The sequence below is a fragment of the Homo sapiens genome, chromosome 7 (genome assembly GCF_000001405.40).
Source record: "Homo sapiens chromosome 7, GRCh38.p14 Primary Assembly".
In the NCBI taxonomy this organism is placed as follows: Eukaryota; Metazoa; Chordata; class Mammalia; order Primates; family Hominidae; genus Homo; species Homo sapiens.
The window spans coordinates 157,512,306-157,527,141 of NC_000007.14; the positions used below are offsets into that span (position 1 = coordinate 157,512,306).

The window sequence follows — 14,836 nt, forward strand, 5'->3', positions numbered from 1 at the left end:
ATGAAAAAATGCTCATCATCACTGGCCATCAGAGAAATGCAAATCAAAACCACAGTGAGATACCATCTCACACCAGTTAGAATGGCGATCATTAAAAAGTCAGGAAACAACAGGTGCTGGAAATGATGTGGAGAAATAGGAACACTTTTACACTGTTGGTGGGACTGTAAACTAGTTCAACCATTGTGGAAGACAGTGTGGCGATTCCTCAAGGATCTAGAACTAGAAATTCCATTTGACCCAGCCATCCCATTACTCAGTATATACCCAAAGGATTATAAATCATGCTGCTATAAAGACACATGCACACATATGTTTATTGCAGAACTATTCACAATAGCAAAGACTTGGAACCAACCCAAATGTCCATCAATGATAGACTGGATTAAGAAAATGTGGCACATATACACCATGGAATACTATGCAGCCATAAAAAAGGATGAGTTCATGTCCTTTGTAGGGACATGGATGAAGCTGGAAACCATCATTCTCAGCAAACTATTGCAAGGACAGAAAACCAAACACTGCATGTTCTCACTCATCGATGGGAATTAAACAATGAGAACACTTGGACACAGGAAGGGGAACATCACACACCGGGGCCTGTTGTGGGGTGGGAGAAGGAGGAGGGATAGCATTAGGAGATATGCCTAAGGTAAATGACGAGTTGATGGGTGCAGCACACCAACATGGCAAATGTATACATATGTAACAAACCTGCAGGTTGTGCACATGTACTCTAGAACTTAAAGTATAATTAAAAAAATAAAATAAATTCACATTTTTATAAATGTTGACTACAAAAGGATTTGATATCGTCACATTCACCGCTGGAAAGTCAATGATTGGATGTCCGCAATGTCACAACAAAGGCCTGTCTCATCTGTGTCATCAGGCTGAGGAGGGGATGTTGACCTGCAGATGACATCACGGCGGCCACACACGTGCCTGGGGCTGCTGGAGATGCTGGTTGGGGAGGAGTTTGGCCTTCTGAGGAGGAAGTCCCAGAGCAGACTTTGGCTCAACTCTAAGGTACATTTGAGCTTGTAGAGGGATCCCCGCCGCTCTCCTGCCTGTGAGCTCGCCCTTGGGCTTGGCAGCCGTGGTGCCTCCTGCCTGTGAACGCCCCTCTCCTCCTTTCTGTGAACGTCCCTCTCCTTCCTGTGAACGTCCCAGACTCTCCTCCTGCCTGTGAACGTCCCTCTCCTGCCCGTGAACGTCCCTCTCCTGCCCGTGAACGCCCCTGTCCTCCTGCTCCGCTCTCTCGACCTTTCCTTCCTTTTGTTGGAGAATAAAGACCTGCGTCTCATGGAGGTGGGGCCCAATACCTGTTGGGAGGCCGGGGCTGGCAAACAATGAAAAGATCGCTGTTTTCCAAACTCACTCAAAGGCTTGTCGATTCGACCTTTACTTCCAGATCAGAGAAAATGATTTTGATTTCATGTTTTTGTTACCACGACGTTTGAAGGTGTGACCTTTAAAGCGACTTTTGTCTCCCGCTCAAACGCTTCTTGCCCCTTTCGGTTTTGTGCTGAAATCAAAGTTGATTCGGTTGCACCAAAGGCCTCCGTCATTTTGGCTTCTGCCTGACGCGCACTGTGGGAAGAACGGTTTCATTATTGTGGGTCGCACCTCACCTCCCTTCGTGCTGTTTCTGAGGGATTCGGATGTCCTGAGGACCCCTTTCCAACTTCCATGGGAGCTGGGAGCCTGGAAAACAACAGCACAAGAGGCAATTTTCTTTTCTTTTCTTTTCTTTTTTTTTTCTTTTTTTGAGACCGAGTCTCGCCCTCTCGTCCAGGCTGGAGTCTGGAGTGCAGTGGCGCGATCTCGGCTCACTTCAACCTCTGCCGCCCGGGTTCAAGCGATTCTCCTACCTCAGCCTCCCGAGTAGCTGAGATTTAACCCGGTAAATTATTGTATTTTTAGTTGAGACAGGGTTTCACCATGTTGGCCAGGCTGGTCTCAAACTCCTGACCTCAGGTCATCCACCCACCTCTGCCTCCCAAAGTGCTGAGATTACAAGAGGCAATTTTTGATTTTCAGCTCCCGGCTGGGCCAGCTTCCAGGCCAGTGGGCTCGGCCAGGCGGGGTCTCCTCCTACAGCCGCCCTGTGCTTTGGGGCTCTGCCTTCCTGACCTTCTGTTTCAGATGATTTTGATCTGTAACAATCTGAGTCCTGCAGCCCCTGGGCTCTGTGGCAGCCTCGAAGGGGGTGGCTTCCACGATGAATGCCACAGATAGGAGCACTGCGGCCTCCCTGGGGTAGCCCAGCAGGCAGTCCGTCCAGTGAGGGAAAAGGGGCAGGTGCGTGGGCAGGCTTGTAACATCCTAATCCCGAGATGGAACTGACCAAGCTGCCCCAAAGCAGACACTGTCTTAGTCTGCTCGGGCAGCCACCACAGCAGACTTTTATCTTCCAGCTGTGGGGGTGGGAGGCCCAAAGTTATGGTGTGGCTGATTCAGTTTCTGGTGGGGGCCCTTCTGCACAGCCATCTTCTTGCTGTGCCCTCACGTGCGGGAGAGAGTTCTGGTGTCTCCTCTGATAAGGGCACTGATCCCACCATGGGTCTCACCCTCGCGACCTCATCTAACCTTAGTGAGTCCCTTAGAGGCCACATCTGTGACCTTGGGGTCTGCCCTGGGGGTCAGGGCTGCCGCAGATGGACTCAGGGGAACACAAACATTCGGTCCTTGAGACATGCAGACAAGCAGGAGAAAACATTATTCCCACAGAAATCAGGGAATGGAGCCAGGCAGAGGACCCTCAGGTTAAAGGAGGGTGGAGGCTGTGGCCTCTCCCTGCCCAGACAGCAGGGCAGGGGATGGAGGCAGGGTAGGTCCCAGCATACGCTGTCGTTCACCACTTTGGAAGGACGGGAGCCTGCTGAGGGGTAACAGGGCGTTTATTACCACAGCATGTCTTAGGCAAGCACCTAAAATGATCACAAGCTTCAGTATGTTTAATAAGCTTTTATTTCAATACAAGGCAAACAAATCAAGGAATTTTTATGCAGTTTAGTAAGAACAGAAGTAGAAATTGGAAATTTAGACAGTTGGATTAGTTTTATTTACAGAGTGAGATCTGTCTGTTTCCCTCTGGTGGTGACTGGCACCGTTTAAAAGAATCTGCGGAATTCCTAACCGTGACAGACGCTGATACTGCTGGGGACACAAGACCCTCTTGGCCAGCGTCAGCTCAAGGCACCTCCTCGCCTGCCGACAGTGGCATGGAGACTGGGGGCTGTGGCATTGGGGGTGGCTCCAGGGCCTGGGACCCTGGCTCCTGAGCGGGTGCGCCACCCTCAGTGTGGGGGAGGACGAGGGAGTGGACACCCACCCAAGGGGGTGACGGGACAGGCTTCCTAAACCACTGGAGCTCTGAGGCTCCTGGCATATCCCTCCCACGGGGCTGCATCTCCGGTGCCTCCCCTCCCCTCCTGTGTTCCACCCACCCTGCCCTGTTCTGGGTGTCTGCAGCTCCGCCACACCTGGTACAAATATCTGCCTTGCTCTGCTGTACCCAACAGCTCTGAGATTTTTAGGAAGCGAAGGGGCAGAAGAAGCGACTCACAAGCTCCTGGAGCCGTGTTGGGAGGGGCCCTCGGGGCCCCTGGAGTGGAGAGACACACCCAGAGGCTTTCCAGCCACCCAGGGAGGAGGCGCGGTGGCTGGGATTTGGAGACAGCTGTGGAGGTGGGTGCAGGAGGCCGGGTTCTCTGTATTTCCAGACTAGAGGCAGCGGCAGCTATTGGTGTGGGGTGGGAGGGGAGAGCAGCTGGGACATAGAAACATTCCGAACCTATGATAAGCTCCCTGCTTCCAAACCCTTAAATGTCCTTAATCTGTAAGAAAGAACACTCCTGACCAAAATTGGCCAGGAGGCCCTCTCAGGTTTATTCTCTGAAATAAACCTGTCCTTGACTGTGGAGCTGCTTTCCCGTTTCTTTCCTCTTTCTTTAACTCTTACAGAGAGCAGCTGGAATGGCCCCACAGGCTACAGCCCGTGTCGGTGTGGGATGCGAGGGAGAGGAGCCAGGATGGCCCCACATGCTTTCCTTGGCTGCCTGGGCGGGTGCAGCAGCCACCTGAGAGGGCCGTCTGAGGACACGAGGCGGCATCAGCCTCATGAGATCTGGGATGTGCACGGGACGTCCATGAAGCCGTCGGAGATGTGTGTCTGGGCAGGGTGCTGACAGGGAGGGTGGGTTTCTGTGGCATTTGGGTTTGGGGGATGAAGCCGTGCAGGGGTGTGAGGCCTGAGGGTTGCAGCAGATGCCTGTGTCCACATCTGGACAGCATTGCTGGCTAACGCCAACCCCACCTGGCTTGGGAACAGGCTTGAATGTGTGGTCTGTCCTGGGCAAAGAGTAAGTTCCTAGAAAATCCCAGCAGTCACTGGGAAGTCTGATGACTTCCTGAGCCGAGCTCTTGGTGTGATGTGATCCCATCGGTGGTGTTACTTCTGGTTTTTGTCTTGTTCACAATAGGATTTGGAGTAGTTTACAAAGGTTAACAAAGTTCAGGGAGTCAGGGAAGGGAAAATTAAGAAAAAGCCCACAGGACAGAGTGGAGCATGTGGCAAGGTCAGCGGCCGCGTGGACGTCTCCGATTGTGCTGGCTGTGCTGCTGTGGCCGCGGTGGGGCAGAAGGTGAGTCCGTCTCCCGAAACTGCTGGCCCCGAGCCTCACAACACCCATTAAAAACCCTGATTTCCAGCTCTGCTCGCAGAGACCTGGATGCAGTGGGCTTGGGCTGGGCCCCGGAACTTGGGTTTCCAGCAAGTGCCCCAGGCGAGTCCTGTGATGGGAGTTGCAGGAACGATGCCAGCCACGTGTCCTGAGGCTGCAGGCAGGGCGGGTGTCTCTGACACCCAGGGTGCTGCCAGTCTGGGAAGCCTGGGCTCCTGCTGTGGGCCTGGGTATTGGAGAGCTGGCAGGCAGAGGTGAGGGCCTCCAAGCTGGGGAGGGTGGGGGCTCTTTACAAGGACCCGGGTCTCCCACGATAGCCTCAGGTGTCTGAACTTCCTCACCTGCTCAGGGGCTTCACCTGCATCCTGGGGGTTTCCTGGAAGGTGAGTGGGTCGGGGGAGCTGCCGACAGGGAGAAGGCGGGCCCAGGAGACTGGGTGGTCCAGGCTCTTTGGGTCGTGCCCTCTGCGGGGCCCGGCTGGTGTTTTGCCCCAGGCAGGTGGTGCAGAGGCAGGGTGGCTGCTAGGGGCCTCCCTGGGAAAAGGTGATGGTCAGCCAGTGCCTGGGGCAGGGCTTGTGGTCGGCCCCAGCCGCTCTCTCACTCCTCCAGCATCTCTGAGCCCAGCCCTGTTGGGTGCCAGCACCTGACGTCCCAGAGGACCCAGGCTTCCTCCCTGGGGTGTGGTCCTGCTTACCATACCCACCCTAACAAGGAACCCAGTGCCAGCCCCCTGAGCCCTGGCACTGCCTCTGGTACCGCCTCGGGGTCTGGGCAGGGGTTGCCCAGAAGCTTTGGGGCAGGAAGAGAGTAGGATGAGACCTCTCGGACGATCAGGACAGGGCTGGCTCCAGGGAACAGGATCTGAGGCGTGGAGTTGGGGAGTGTGTTCCTTCCACATCCCCTGGAAAGGGTGGAGGCCTCCCCATCCCCTTACAGCTAGCAGGGCTTCAGCATCCCCAAGCCAGGGGGAACCAGGAGTCTACACTGATGTTTCTCTGTGCTTCTTCATGCAGGCCAGACGTCCTCACTTCCCCCAACCCCAGTCCAGTTGTACATGTTGTGCACTGCACAAGGGCCCTGGCAGAGGACCAAGTTGGAGTTGAAATCCAGCCATGGCATGGCCCTGTGGGCTGCACACAGCATATGGAGGCTGCACTGGTCAGCAGCTGCTCAGCCTGAGAGAGATCCTGGAGCCCCATGTGGCATCTCTGGGTCTGAATTCTCTCTTGACACAAAGAGGACACCTCCTTGGTCGTTGCTAAGGAATTTGAACAGAGGAGGGCCCTGCAAGTTCCCAGCGCCATGCACTGTGCAGCCGAGCCCAACACCCGGAAGCTGCTGTCAGCTGGTCCCTCGGACACTACTGTGGGCTGGTTTGACCTCTTGGGCCCTCACTGCTCAGAGCTGCAAGGTGGCTTCATCACTTTCTTCTGTGCAGTCCCAGCCTTCCAGATGGTCAGAGACTGCTGGTGCCTCCCTCCACCATCCCGTTGCTGTCCCCCAGGGCCTCATCTCTGGGACTTCTCTACCCTACCATCCCTCACATTGACACAAATGTGTACACAGAAGCACACATGCACACACACATACATGCATGTGCACAGATGAACACACAGACACACACGCACACACATGCACATGCATGCAAAGACATGCACACATGCATGCACACACACACATGCACATGCACAGATGAACACACAGACACACACACGCACATGCATGCACACAGACACACATGCATATACATGCACAGAGATGCACACATATACACACAGACATGCACACACACATGCTACAGCATGTGCACACAGACACACACACCCTGCACACCCCAAGCCTCGTCTGCTGTCTCTGCTGTGCCTGCTTCCCTTAGCCCCTGATACCACCTTCCCCAGGTCTCCCAACTGCCCTGCCTGGACACAGAGAGGGGTCCTGTGAAGTCAGGCCTTGAAGGAGTGGGCGTCTCTCAGCCCCTCTGGAAGCCTCGCACCAGGACTGTCCCCTCTCCCGCAGAGCATTCAGGACCAGCAGCCCTCAGCCCTGCAGTCTCCAGACCTGGTTCTGGGGAGCTTGGGGAGCTGGGGAGGTGGGTCAGGACCCAGACACCTTTGATTGGGACCCATTTGACATGAGACAGTGAGTGTCATCCCTAAATTAAATCTTGATTTCAGAATTTTGGAGTTTACCAAAATGGACTTATTTCTCAGTATTTCCAAAGTTTCTATTTTGTTTTAAAACAATAAACAATATACACCTGAACTTGTAAAAATAAGTTTACATGAATACTATTCCACAACCTCCCACCCCAGCCGTCTTTCCCAAGGTGTGAGGGTCGGGATGTAACTGGCTGGGACCCCATAGCTCCCGGGCCTCCCTGACGTCCAGGCTCCTCTGCGGGAACACTGGGATGACGTGATGCTCTGCAGTGAGGGACACCAGGGGTGGCTGGACGAGCCCAGTGCATGCCTGGGCCCTCCCCTGGGTGGGGTGTGGCATGAGGGCACTCTGAGTGCTGGGACCTGGGTCTTGCTGGCCTTGGCCCGTTCAAATGGCTGTGGCCACCACCGTCTTCAAACCCAACATGATCTCTGGCCGACTGCTCTGTTGCTTTCTGTATTCTGTTTATTTTCTGAGAATTAGAAGAAGATAATAATTATCTGCTCCAGCCTCACCCTCCATGAAGCCTGAATTCCCACTGTCAGCACGCCCTTCCTTTGGACTAAAGACAGCTCTGTTTAGCTTCCTCCTGAAAATGATCACCGGCCCTGGGAGGGCTCCAGGGCTCCTGCTTCAGGATCCTGAGGTGGGGGACGGTGAGAGATCTCTGCCTCCTGTTTGGGGTAGGTGGCCGGGGGTCGGTGGTGACTGCTGCAGAGGCCGCAGGCTGAGCTCACGGTTCACAGTTCTGCCCCCTTTCCCCTGTCACCTAAGGCAGCGAACTGCTTTCCAGCCATCTTGTTTTGTAGGCCATATCAGGAGCCCGACCCCAGCTCTTGTATCAGATCCCGTTACCCTGGGGCCTTCTGCCTCCAGAGCTAGGTGTTGGCGCCTGGTCCCCAGGGAGATGACGGGCTGGACTGCGGGCTGGGCCTCGAATCTGCAGGAACTGGCTGGTCTTGTTGCTCCCAGATAAATTTTTTGGATTTCCATGAAAAGGAAAAGAAAATGAGTGCACGTGAGGCAGGTCGGTGGTGGGCGGGGAGGTGGGGGTGGGGAAGAACTCGCCTGTGCTGTCAGTGAGGAAACGGGAGTTTTCTCCTGGGGGAGAGGGCCCCAGGCGCCTCCAGGAGGAAGCAGCTCAAGGGCTGACTCCAAGTCACCCCTGGGGCAACAAAGTTCAAAAGGTGGGTGCACCTGCTCCAGGCTGGTGGCTGCCGCAGGGCAGACAGCTCCCACCGCCTGCAGCTCGCTGTCCCCTCCCTATGCTGGGGCTGCACTGAGGCCCCGAGTCCCCTGAGCTGAATCAGCACCTGGGGAGATATCCTGGCTGCAGTCTTTGCTCTCGGTTTCTTTTTTCTATTCCTTTTTGTTTTGAGACAAGGTCTCGCTCTGTTGCTAAGGCTGGAGTGCAGTGGTGAGATCCTGGCTCACTGCAGCCTCAACCGCTGGGCTAGGGTGATCCTCCCACCTCAGCCTCCTGAGTAGCTGGGACCACAGGCACATGCTTCCATGCCTGGCTAATTTTTAATTTTTTTTTTTGTAGAGAAGGGGTCTCCCTATATTGTTCAGGCTGTTCTTGAACTCCTGGGCTGAAGCAGTCTTCCCACCTGTACCTCCCAAAGTGCTGGGGCTACAGGTGTGAGCCACCACAAACTGGCCTTGATTTGTCTTAACTTGGTCAACCTGGGTGGACAAAAGGAGTGTTATCTACTGGGGGCTTCCTCAGATACCCCAACAGCCATGAGGGGAGGAAGAGAAGGAGAGGGAAGGAGACTGGGGAGGAGGAGGGTGGAAAGAAGGAGGGGCTGAAGAGGGGAAGAGGGAGGGGCGAGGAGGGAGAGTGGGTGGAATTCCTGAAGGGTCTGCACTGCTAAGACAACCATGAGTTGCAGTTTCTCCCACATGCATGTGGCTGGACCTGCTGCCCCTTCCTTCTTGGGATGGAGGTGGGCCTGGCCGTGCAGATGTGAGAGGTACAGGCGAGTGGGCGCCTGGCGAGGGTTCGGTGGAGCCAGCGTTGGGTCCTCCTGCTGGGTCAGCCCCTGTGTCTGTGACGTTGTGCGGCAGCCTTGGACCCAGGAGGTGCAACACAGTGACCCCATCTCTGTGGAGCTGGAGGGCTCAGCGTTGTCAGCCAAGAGACGCTCGGGCAGACATGGCTTGATGGCGGGGGGACGTCACTAGTGCGTCAACACCATACCAAGGCCAGGCCTGGTTCTCGCCCCAAACAGAACAGCTTGCTCCGACCTTCCCAGCGACCCTGAGCACCTGGTCCCATACTGCCCCCACTCCACAGGGCAGAAGGATGATGTGGAGTGGCGCGCGAGAGTCGCAGGGCAGTGAGTGGGAGGAGGGCCCTGAGGTGTGGGCCAGGCCACAGGCCACAGTCAGGGTCTGCATGGTGGCGCTCCTCTCCCGGCTGAGTGTGGCGAGGGCTGGTGGGAGCCGCGGGCCAGAGGGTGGTGCCTGCCTCCCCAAGAGCCATTCCCACGCCTTCAGAGACGGTGATTCATCTCCAAGGGTAATACAGCAGGAGTGGAAAGGAAAAGAGCTCCAATGATCATGCAGCTGGATTTATTAAAATGGAAGCAGGGGGTTGGGGGCAAAGGCAGCGCCTGTATCCGGAAGAAGCTGTTTCCAGCGGCTTGATGAATTAAACAAGTTATTCCTATATCGCAATTGTAATTATGTCGGGAAATAAAATAGAGATGAGTGTGCATGTACAAAAAAGATGGTTTTGAATGAGGAGCTGGGCGTTTCGAACGCTGCAGTTGGCAGCGAATGGAGCCACAGCGCCGACCTCTTCAGCCGCGATTCCTGCTCAGGAGTGACAGGAGGCCCCAGGCGGCTGCAGAACCTTCCTGAGACAGGAGGGACTTGGCGTGACGGGCCGAGTGGTCCCTGGGCATCTGAATGTCCTCACCCCCTATTTTCTTCTTTATTCCCTGGCCTATTGTAAATAAAAACGAACATCAAATCCTTCACCTCATTTACGTCTCATAACCCATGAGAGAGAAGTTAGCAGAACTCTCCACCAGCGACTCAGCTCTTCACAGGGTCTCAGACGCGAGGGCCAGCTTGGTGCCCCTTAGCACCTAGGGGGTGGGGCTGGCGCTCAGAAAGACGCCCTCAGGCCCAGCCCAGAGAAGGCCCTGCACCCGCCCATGGGGCTTTTGGAACTGGGTCCCAGGGAGCAGCCATGGAGGGGGCTGAGCGTGGCCTCACTGGTGCGGCCGACCTTGGATGTGGTTGGGAACCCGGAGTTTGATCTGGCTTTAGGCTGAGGATGTTGAAAATCACGTGACCACTAGATCCAGACACGTGGAATTAGGAACCGTGCACAGTGGCGTGCAAGAGACTGGTCATTTCTGCAGGTGCATGTGTGTGCATGCTTCGTGTGTCTACACAGACGTAAGACTTCGTGAACGGAGATGCGCGTGTGGGCGTGTGCACTGTGTGGGCATACATGTACCACCACGTCTACAGACGCATGCGTAGATCTATCCAGGATTTGAAAGTGTCAATTAAATACAACCCCATATGGCCCCAGAAGAGTCTCAAAGAGACTCCCAAGGACTTAGGTTCTTCCAAGGAAAGAAATAGCTCAGCCCCATCAAGATCCGGCCAAGAGAGAATCTGTTGATTTCATCCTCCCTCCCTCTTGCCACTCCAAGGAGTTCAGATGTCTGCTGAACATCTCACTCTCTTCTTTCTCTTCTTTTGACAAAAACTTTGGAGACAAAGTTTGCAAAACAGGTAAAAGACCAGAGGTAAGAAAGATGTCAGCAGGTTGCTGAGAGCTGCATTGCTCCAGGAAACACTGCCCTGAGGCACACTCAGAAACCCGCAGCCTCCGGCAGCTCCTGCTCTGCTGGGAAAGTCCAGGTCAGGCCTGATGGACACACACGGGGAGGAGAGAGGCCTCGACGCTGCTGTCTGTCCACAGAAGCACAGGGCCTGGCCTCCTGTATGAGGATGAGGGCTTAAGGCTGCAGGTGTGGGAGGCTGTGAGGTGGGCAGCAGGGATGGTGGGGGGCTGGGGAGGGGAAGGACGTGGGGTCCCAGAGCTGGAAGCTGTGCCGCAGCAGGAGGCTTGGCATCCCCTTACCAGCCCCCTGCCCGGCACCAGCATTCTGCAAACACTGGCTGCTTAAAACGAATGGAGACAACAGTGCACTTCCTGGTGGAGCCTCACTGCTGCCTTGAGAATTCCAGCTGCCTCTCAAGCTGCACAAGAGTGAAGGTGAGGGCGTGGAGCGGTTCCAGCCCCAGTGCTCTGCGAGGTGCTGCTCCTCATGGCTGCGATCACTGCGGCCACCGTCCCACTTTCCAGCAGAGGAAACTCGGGCTCCAAGAGGGGAAGGAAGGTCCCTGTGGCCACATGGCTGGATGGACCATTTGAACCGACTTCGGCCCGCCCCAGCCCGTGCTGGGATGTGCAGGTGCTGGGGGCTACACAGAGCTGAGGAGGCTGTCGGGGCTCCCAGACAGATGCCTGGGCTGGGTTTGCACCCCAAATCTGTGCCTAGACCGGGCTGGGTTTGCACCCCAAGTCTGTGCCTAGAGACTGAAGGGCATGCATCAGGCCAGGGTCTGGTCAGGACCCTGCAAGGGAGTGAGGGGCCCTGGGGACTTGTGTGGGTGCCGAGCCTGGGCCTGGGGACAGCAGCTTTGCCTGGACTTTGCCCGTCTCTGGCTTCTGTTCTGGATAATGGGCCAGCGCCTGGCTGCAGGGGTCAGAGAGTGAGCCTGGAGTGTGCAGAGCCGCCTCCTGGAGTGCTCAGGAGCTCAGGGTGAGAAGGCCGGACGCCACCTTGGTGCGGAGAGACTGGGAAGGGCCCCCTTGCAGTCCCTCTGGGCTCTGCCCTGGCCTCCACCCTGGCATCTCCAGGAATGGCCGCGGGGCGCTCCTCTCTCTTCACTCTTCAGTGTGTACAGCTACTCCTTCCTCTGCTCTGCCCCATGGGAGCAGCTCTGGCTCAGGGGCCCTCTTCTGAGGGTGAGTGGGAGGGTCCCCAGGCCTGGCCTGAGGAGCCCCGACTCCTGCCATCTGGCTGTGACAATCGTGGGGGTTCGGGGCAGGGGGTGAGTGAGGGAGCACGATGCCGGGGTGGCGAAGTCCAGATGTTGTGTGTCCAGATGCCACACAGTTGCAAGCAAGGCCTCCGTGGAACCCCGAGGCAGCTCTGGGACTGGAGGGCCCCACCGGGTGGTCCCAAAAGGGGCCAGTGGGAGGGCCTCGTGGCCCTCTTAGACCAGTCATGGGGTGGGCCATGTCCCTGGGAAGGGCATTGGCATGGGGCAGGGGGCATGTGGCTGAGGGCAGTTCATGGAGAGGGGCCTGGCTGTGAGCCCTCAGCAGCCCAGCTGCCAGCCACTGGGAGCCCCAATGTCCCTGTGGGGCTCCTGGCCTCTGATGCGTGGCCCAAGGCTGCAGAGTCTATGATTTCCTCTGACTTCCCTTCGTTCACAGCCACCTTTTCACAGGGAACGTCTAATCCTAAAAAACAGAAGGATGACTGCAAAGCAGTGGGATTACTTTTTTTTTTAAATAGAAAATCGAGACCACAATAGTTATGTATCAATGGCTTCCTTCAAAGTAGATACCCCAGAGAAGAAAGAGAGAGGCTCAGGGCTGCTAGGAGAAGACAGAGACAGAGAAGGAGGCAGAGAGAGGCAGAGAGAGAAAAAAAGACAGAGACAGAGGGAGGCAGAGAGAGAGAGAGAAGAAAGAGAGGGAGGCAGAGAGAGAGAGAGAGAGATGATAGACGGAGACAGAGAAGGAGGCAGAGGGAGACAGAAGAGACAGAGACAGAGGGAGGCAGAGAGAGACAGAGAGAGAAGAGACAGACAGAGAGGGAGGCAGAGAGAGACAGAGAGAGAAGAAGAGACAGAGAGGAGGCAGAGAGAGACAGAGAGAAGAGACAGATGGACACAGAGAGGGAGGCAGAGACTGTGTGTGTAACACACTCTCCCTTGAAAGAGAAGCAAAAGGAATAAAAAAATATTTGCAAACTCTTCATCCAACAAGGGACTAATACCCAGAATCTACAAGGAACTCACCCAGCTCAACAGCAACAAAAATAATCTGATTTAAAAATGGGCAAATTTCAGCAGGTCATGGACTAAAAAAATAAAAAATAAGAAAAATGGGCAAACGATCAGAGTAGATGTTTCTCAGAAGAAGACCTACCAGTGGCCAGAAAGTATATGAGAAAAGACCCAACATCACTCAGGAAAATGCTAATTTAAAACCATAATGAGATACCACCCCACATCTGCTAGAATGGTTTTTATCAGAAAGGCAGAAGATCACAGAGGCGGGGAGGTGGAGAAAAGAGAGCCGTGTGCACTCTCGGAGGGAAAAGAGGGCCGTGTGCACTGTCGGAGAGAAAAGAGGGCCGTGTGCACTGTCGCAGGGAAAAGAGGGCCGTGTGCACTCTCGGAGGGAAAAGAAGGCCGTGTGCACTGTGGCAGGGAAAAGAGGGCCGTGTGCACCGTCTGAGGGAAAAGAGGGCCGTGTGCACTGTCGCAGGGAAAAGAGGGCCGTGTGTACTGTCGGAGGGAAAAGAGGGCCGTGTGCAGTGTCGCAGGGAAAAGAGGGCCGTGTGCAGTGTCGCAGGGAAAAGAGGGCCGTGTGCAGTGTCGGAAGGAAAAGTGGGCAGTGCGCACTGTGGGAGGGAAAAGAGGGCCATGTGCACTGTCGGAGGGAATGTGAGTGAGGATGCCTGCTATGGAGAGCCCCTGGAGTTTCCTGAAAACACTAAAAATAGAGCCACCTTGGGATCCAGCAGTCCCACTGCTGGGCATACGCCCCAAAGAAAGGAAATCCGTATATCGAAGATGTATCTGCACATCCCTATTCATTGCAGCACTACTTACAATGGCCGAGATTTGGAATCAACCTCAGTGCCCATCAACAGACGAACGGATAAGAAAAATGTGGTGCGTAGGCACAGTGGATACTGTTCAGCCAGAGAAGAAAGGAATCCTGTCATTTCAGCCGCATGGATGAGCCTGGAGGAATTGGGGAAATCAGCCAGGTGCAGGAAGACAAACACCCCAGGATCTCACACATCTGTGGGAGCTAAAAAAGCCGAACTCAAGGCGGTGGTGATGGACTGCTGGTTGCCAGAGTCTGGGGAGGGGGTAAGAGTTAGAGCCAGACGGGAGAATAAGCTCTAGTGTTCCTGGCACTCCACGCAACTGTGGTTGACAACAATTTATTGTATGTTTTCAGAGAGCTGGAAGAGAGGCTTTGGAATGTTCCCAGCACAAAGAACTGACAAAGGTTTGAGGTGACAGGCACGTGAACCGCCCTGATCTGACTATCCCACATCATACACGGGCGTCGAAACACCACCCTGTATTCCAGAAACAGGTGCAATTATTGTGTGCCAATTAAAAAAAGGAGAGCGAGAAGAGAGAGAGGGCGAGCTGGGCCGTGGAAGTGGAATCAGACTCGGAGCTGATGAGGCCAGCGTTTCCTCCTGTCTCCTTTGATGCTGAGGCCTGACGTCACTCCCGTGCCATTCCCAGCCTTCCTTCAGAGTCCCTGCGAGCCCTCAGGAGCTGCGTGGTGGGGTTGACGATGGCCACATCCCGGGCACCTCTGGCTGCTGCAGGCCTCCCAAGACCGCTTCACACTTCTGTGCCGACCAGGCCACCAGCCAGCGTTGCCTCTTGCAGACCACTCGGCCGCTAGTGGGGTGCGCACAGCAGCAGGCTTTCTGTACCCAGAGAGGCGGCAGCAGGAGAGCCACAGAGAGCACGGGAGCTTCTCCACCTCGCCTGGCCCCTCACGTGCGGAGCACGTCCCCTCCAGACTGAAGGGCGCACATCTTGGGCTGCAGGACAGACGCCCCCAGGGCTGAGCTGTGTGGTGCAGGCCAAACGCTCCCGGCTCCCCTGAGCACTGGCCTTGGAGGTGACCACAGAGAAATGACCTGATGGCCAGAAAACCCACCGTGATATTTACCAAC

At 55.5% G+C, this 14,836-nt stretch overlaps 6 annotated features.

Moving 5' to 3' along the window:
• Positions 631 to 1,131: an enhancer, noted in NCBI's record as "H3K4me1 hESC enhancer chr7:157305630-157306130 (GRCh37/hg19 assembly coordinates)". NCBI's record gives its function as "activates a minimal SCP1, AML or CMV promoter by ChIP-STARR-seq in naive H9 embryonic stem cells {active_cell/tissue: H9 hESC(naive)}" and the evidence as "EXISTENCE:reporter gene assay evidence [ECO:0000049][PMID:30033119]".
• Positions 1,132 to 1,632: an enhancer, noted in NCBI's record as "H3K4me1 hESC enhancer chr7:157306131-157306631 (GRCh37/hg19 assembly coordinates)". NCBI's record gives its function as "activates a minimal SCP1, AML or CMV promoter by ChIP-STARR-seq in naive H9 embryonic stem cells {active_cell/tissue: H9 hESC(naive)}" and the evidence as "EXISTENCE:reporter gene assay evidence [ECO:0000049][PMID:30033119]".
• Positions 2,835 to 3,765: an enhancer, noted in NCBI's record as "H3K4me1 hESC enhancer chr7:157307834-157308764 (GRCh37/hg19 assembly coordinates)". NCBI's record gives its function as "activates a minimal SCP1, AML or CMV promoter by ChIP-STARR-seq in naive H9 embryonic stem cells {active_cell/tissue: H9 hESC(naive)}" and the evidence as "EXISTENCE:reporter gene assay evidence [ECO:0000049][PMID:30033119]".
• Positions 3,917 to 4,086: an enhancer, noted in NCBI's record as "experimental_97964 CRE fragment used in MPRA reporter constructs". NCBI's record gives its function as "activates a minimal promoter by MPRAs in K562 erythroleukemia cells, with activity observed for both the introgressed and non-introgressed 7:157309001 variant alleles {active_cell/tissue: K562}" and the evidence as "EXISTENCE:reporter gene assay evidence [ECO:0000049][PMID:34662402]".
• Positions 8,608 to 9,111: an enhancer, noted in NCBI's record as "H3K27ac-H3K4me1 hESC enhancer chr7:157313607-157314110 (GRCh37/hg19 assembly coordinates)". NCBI's record gives its function as "activates a minimal SCP1, AML or CMV promoter by ChIP-STARR-seq in naive H9 embryonic stem cells {active_cell/tissue: H9 hESC(naive)}" and the evidence as "EXISTENCE:reporter gene assay evidence [ECO:0000049][PMID:30033119]".
• Positions 9,112 to 9,615: an enhancer, noted in NCBI's record as "H3K27ac-H3K4me1 hESC enhancer chr7:157314111-157314614 (GRCh37/hg19 assembly coordinates)". NCBI's record gives its function as "activates a minimal SCP1, AML or CMV promoter by ChIP-STARR-seq in naive H9 embryonic stem cells {active_cell/tissue: H9 hESC(naive)}" and the evidence as "EXISTENCE:reporter gene assay evidence [ECO:0000049][PMID:30033119]".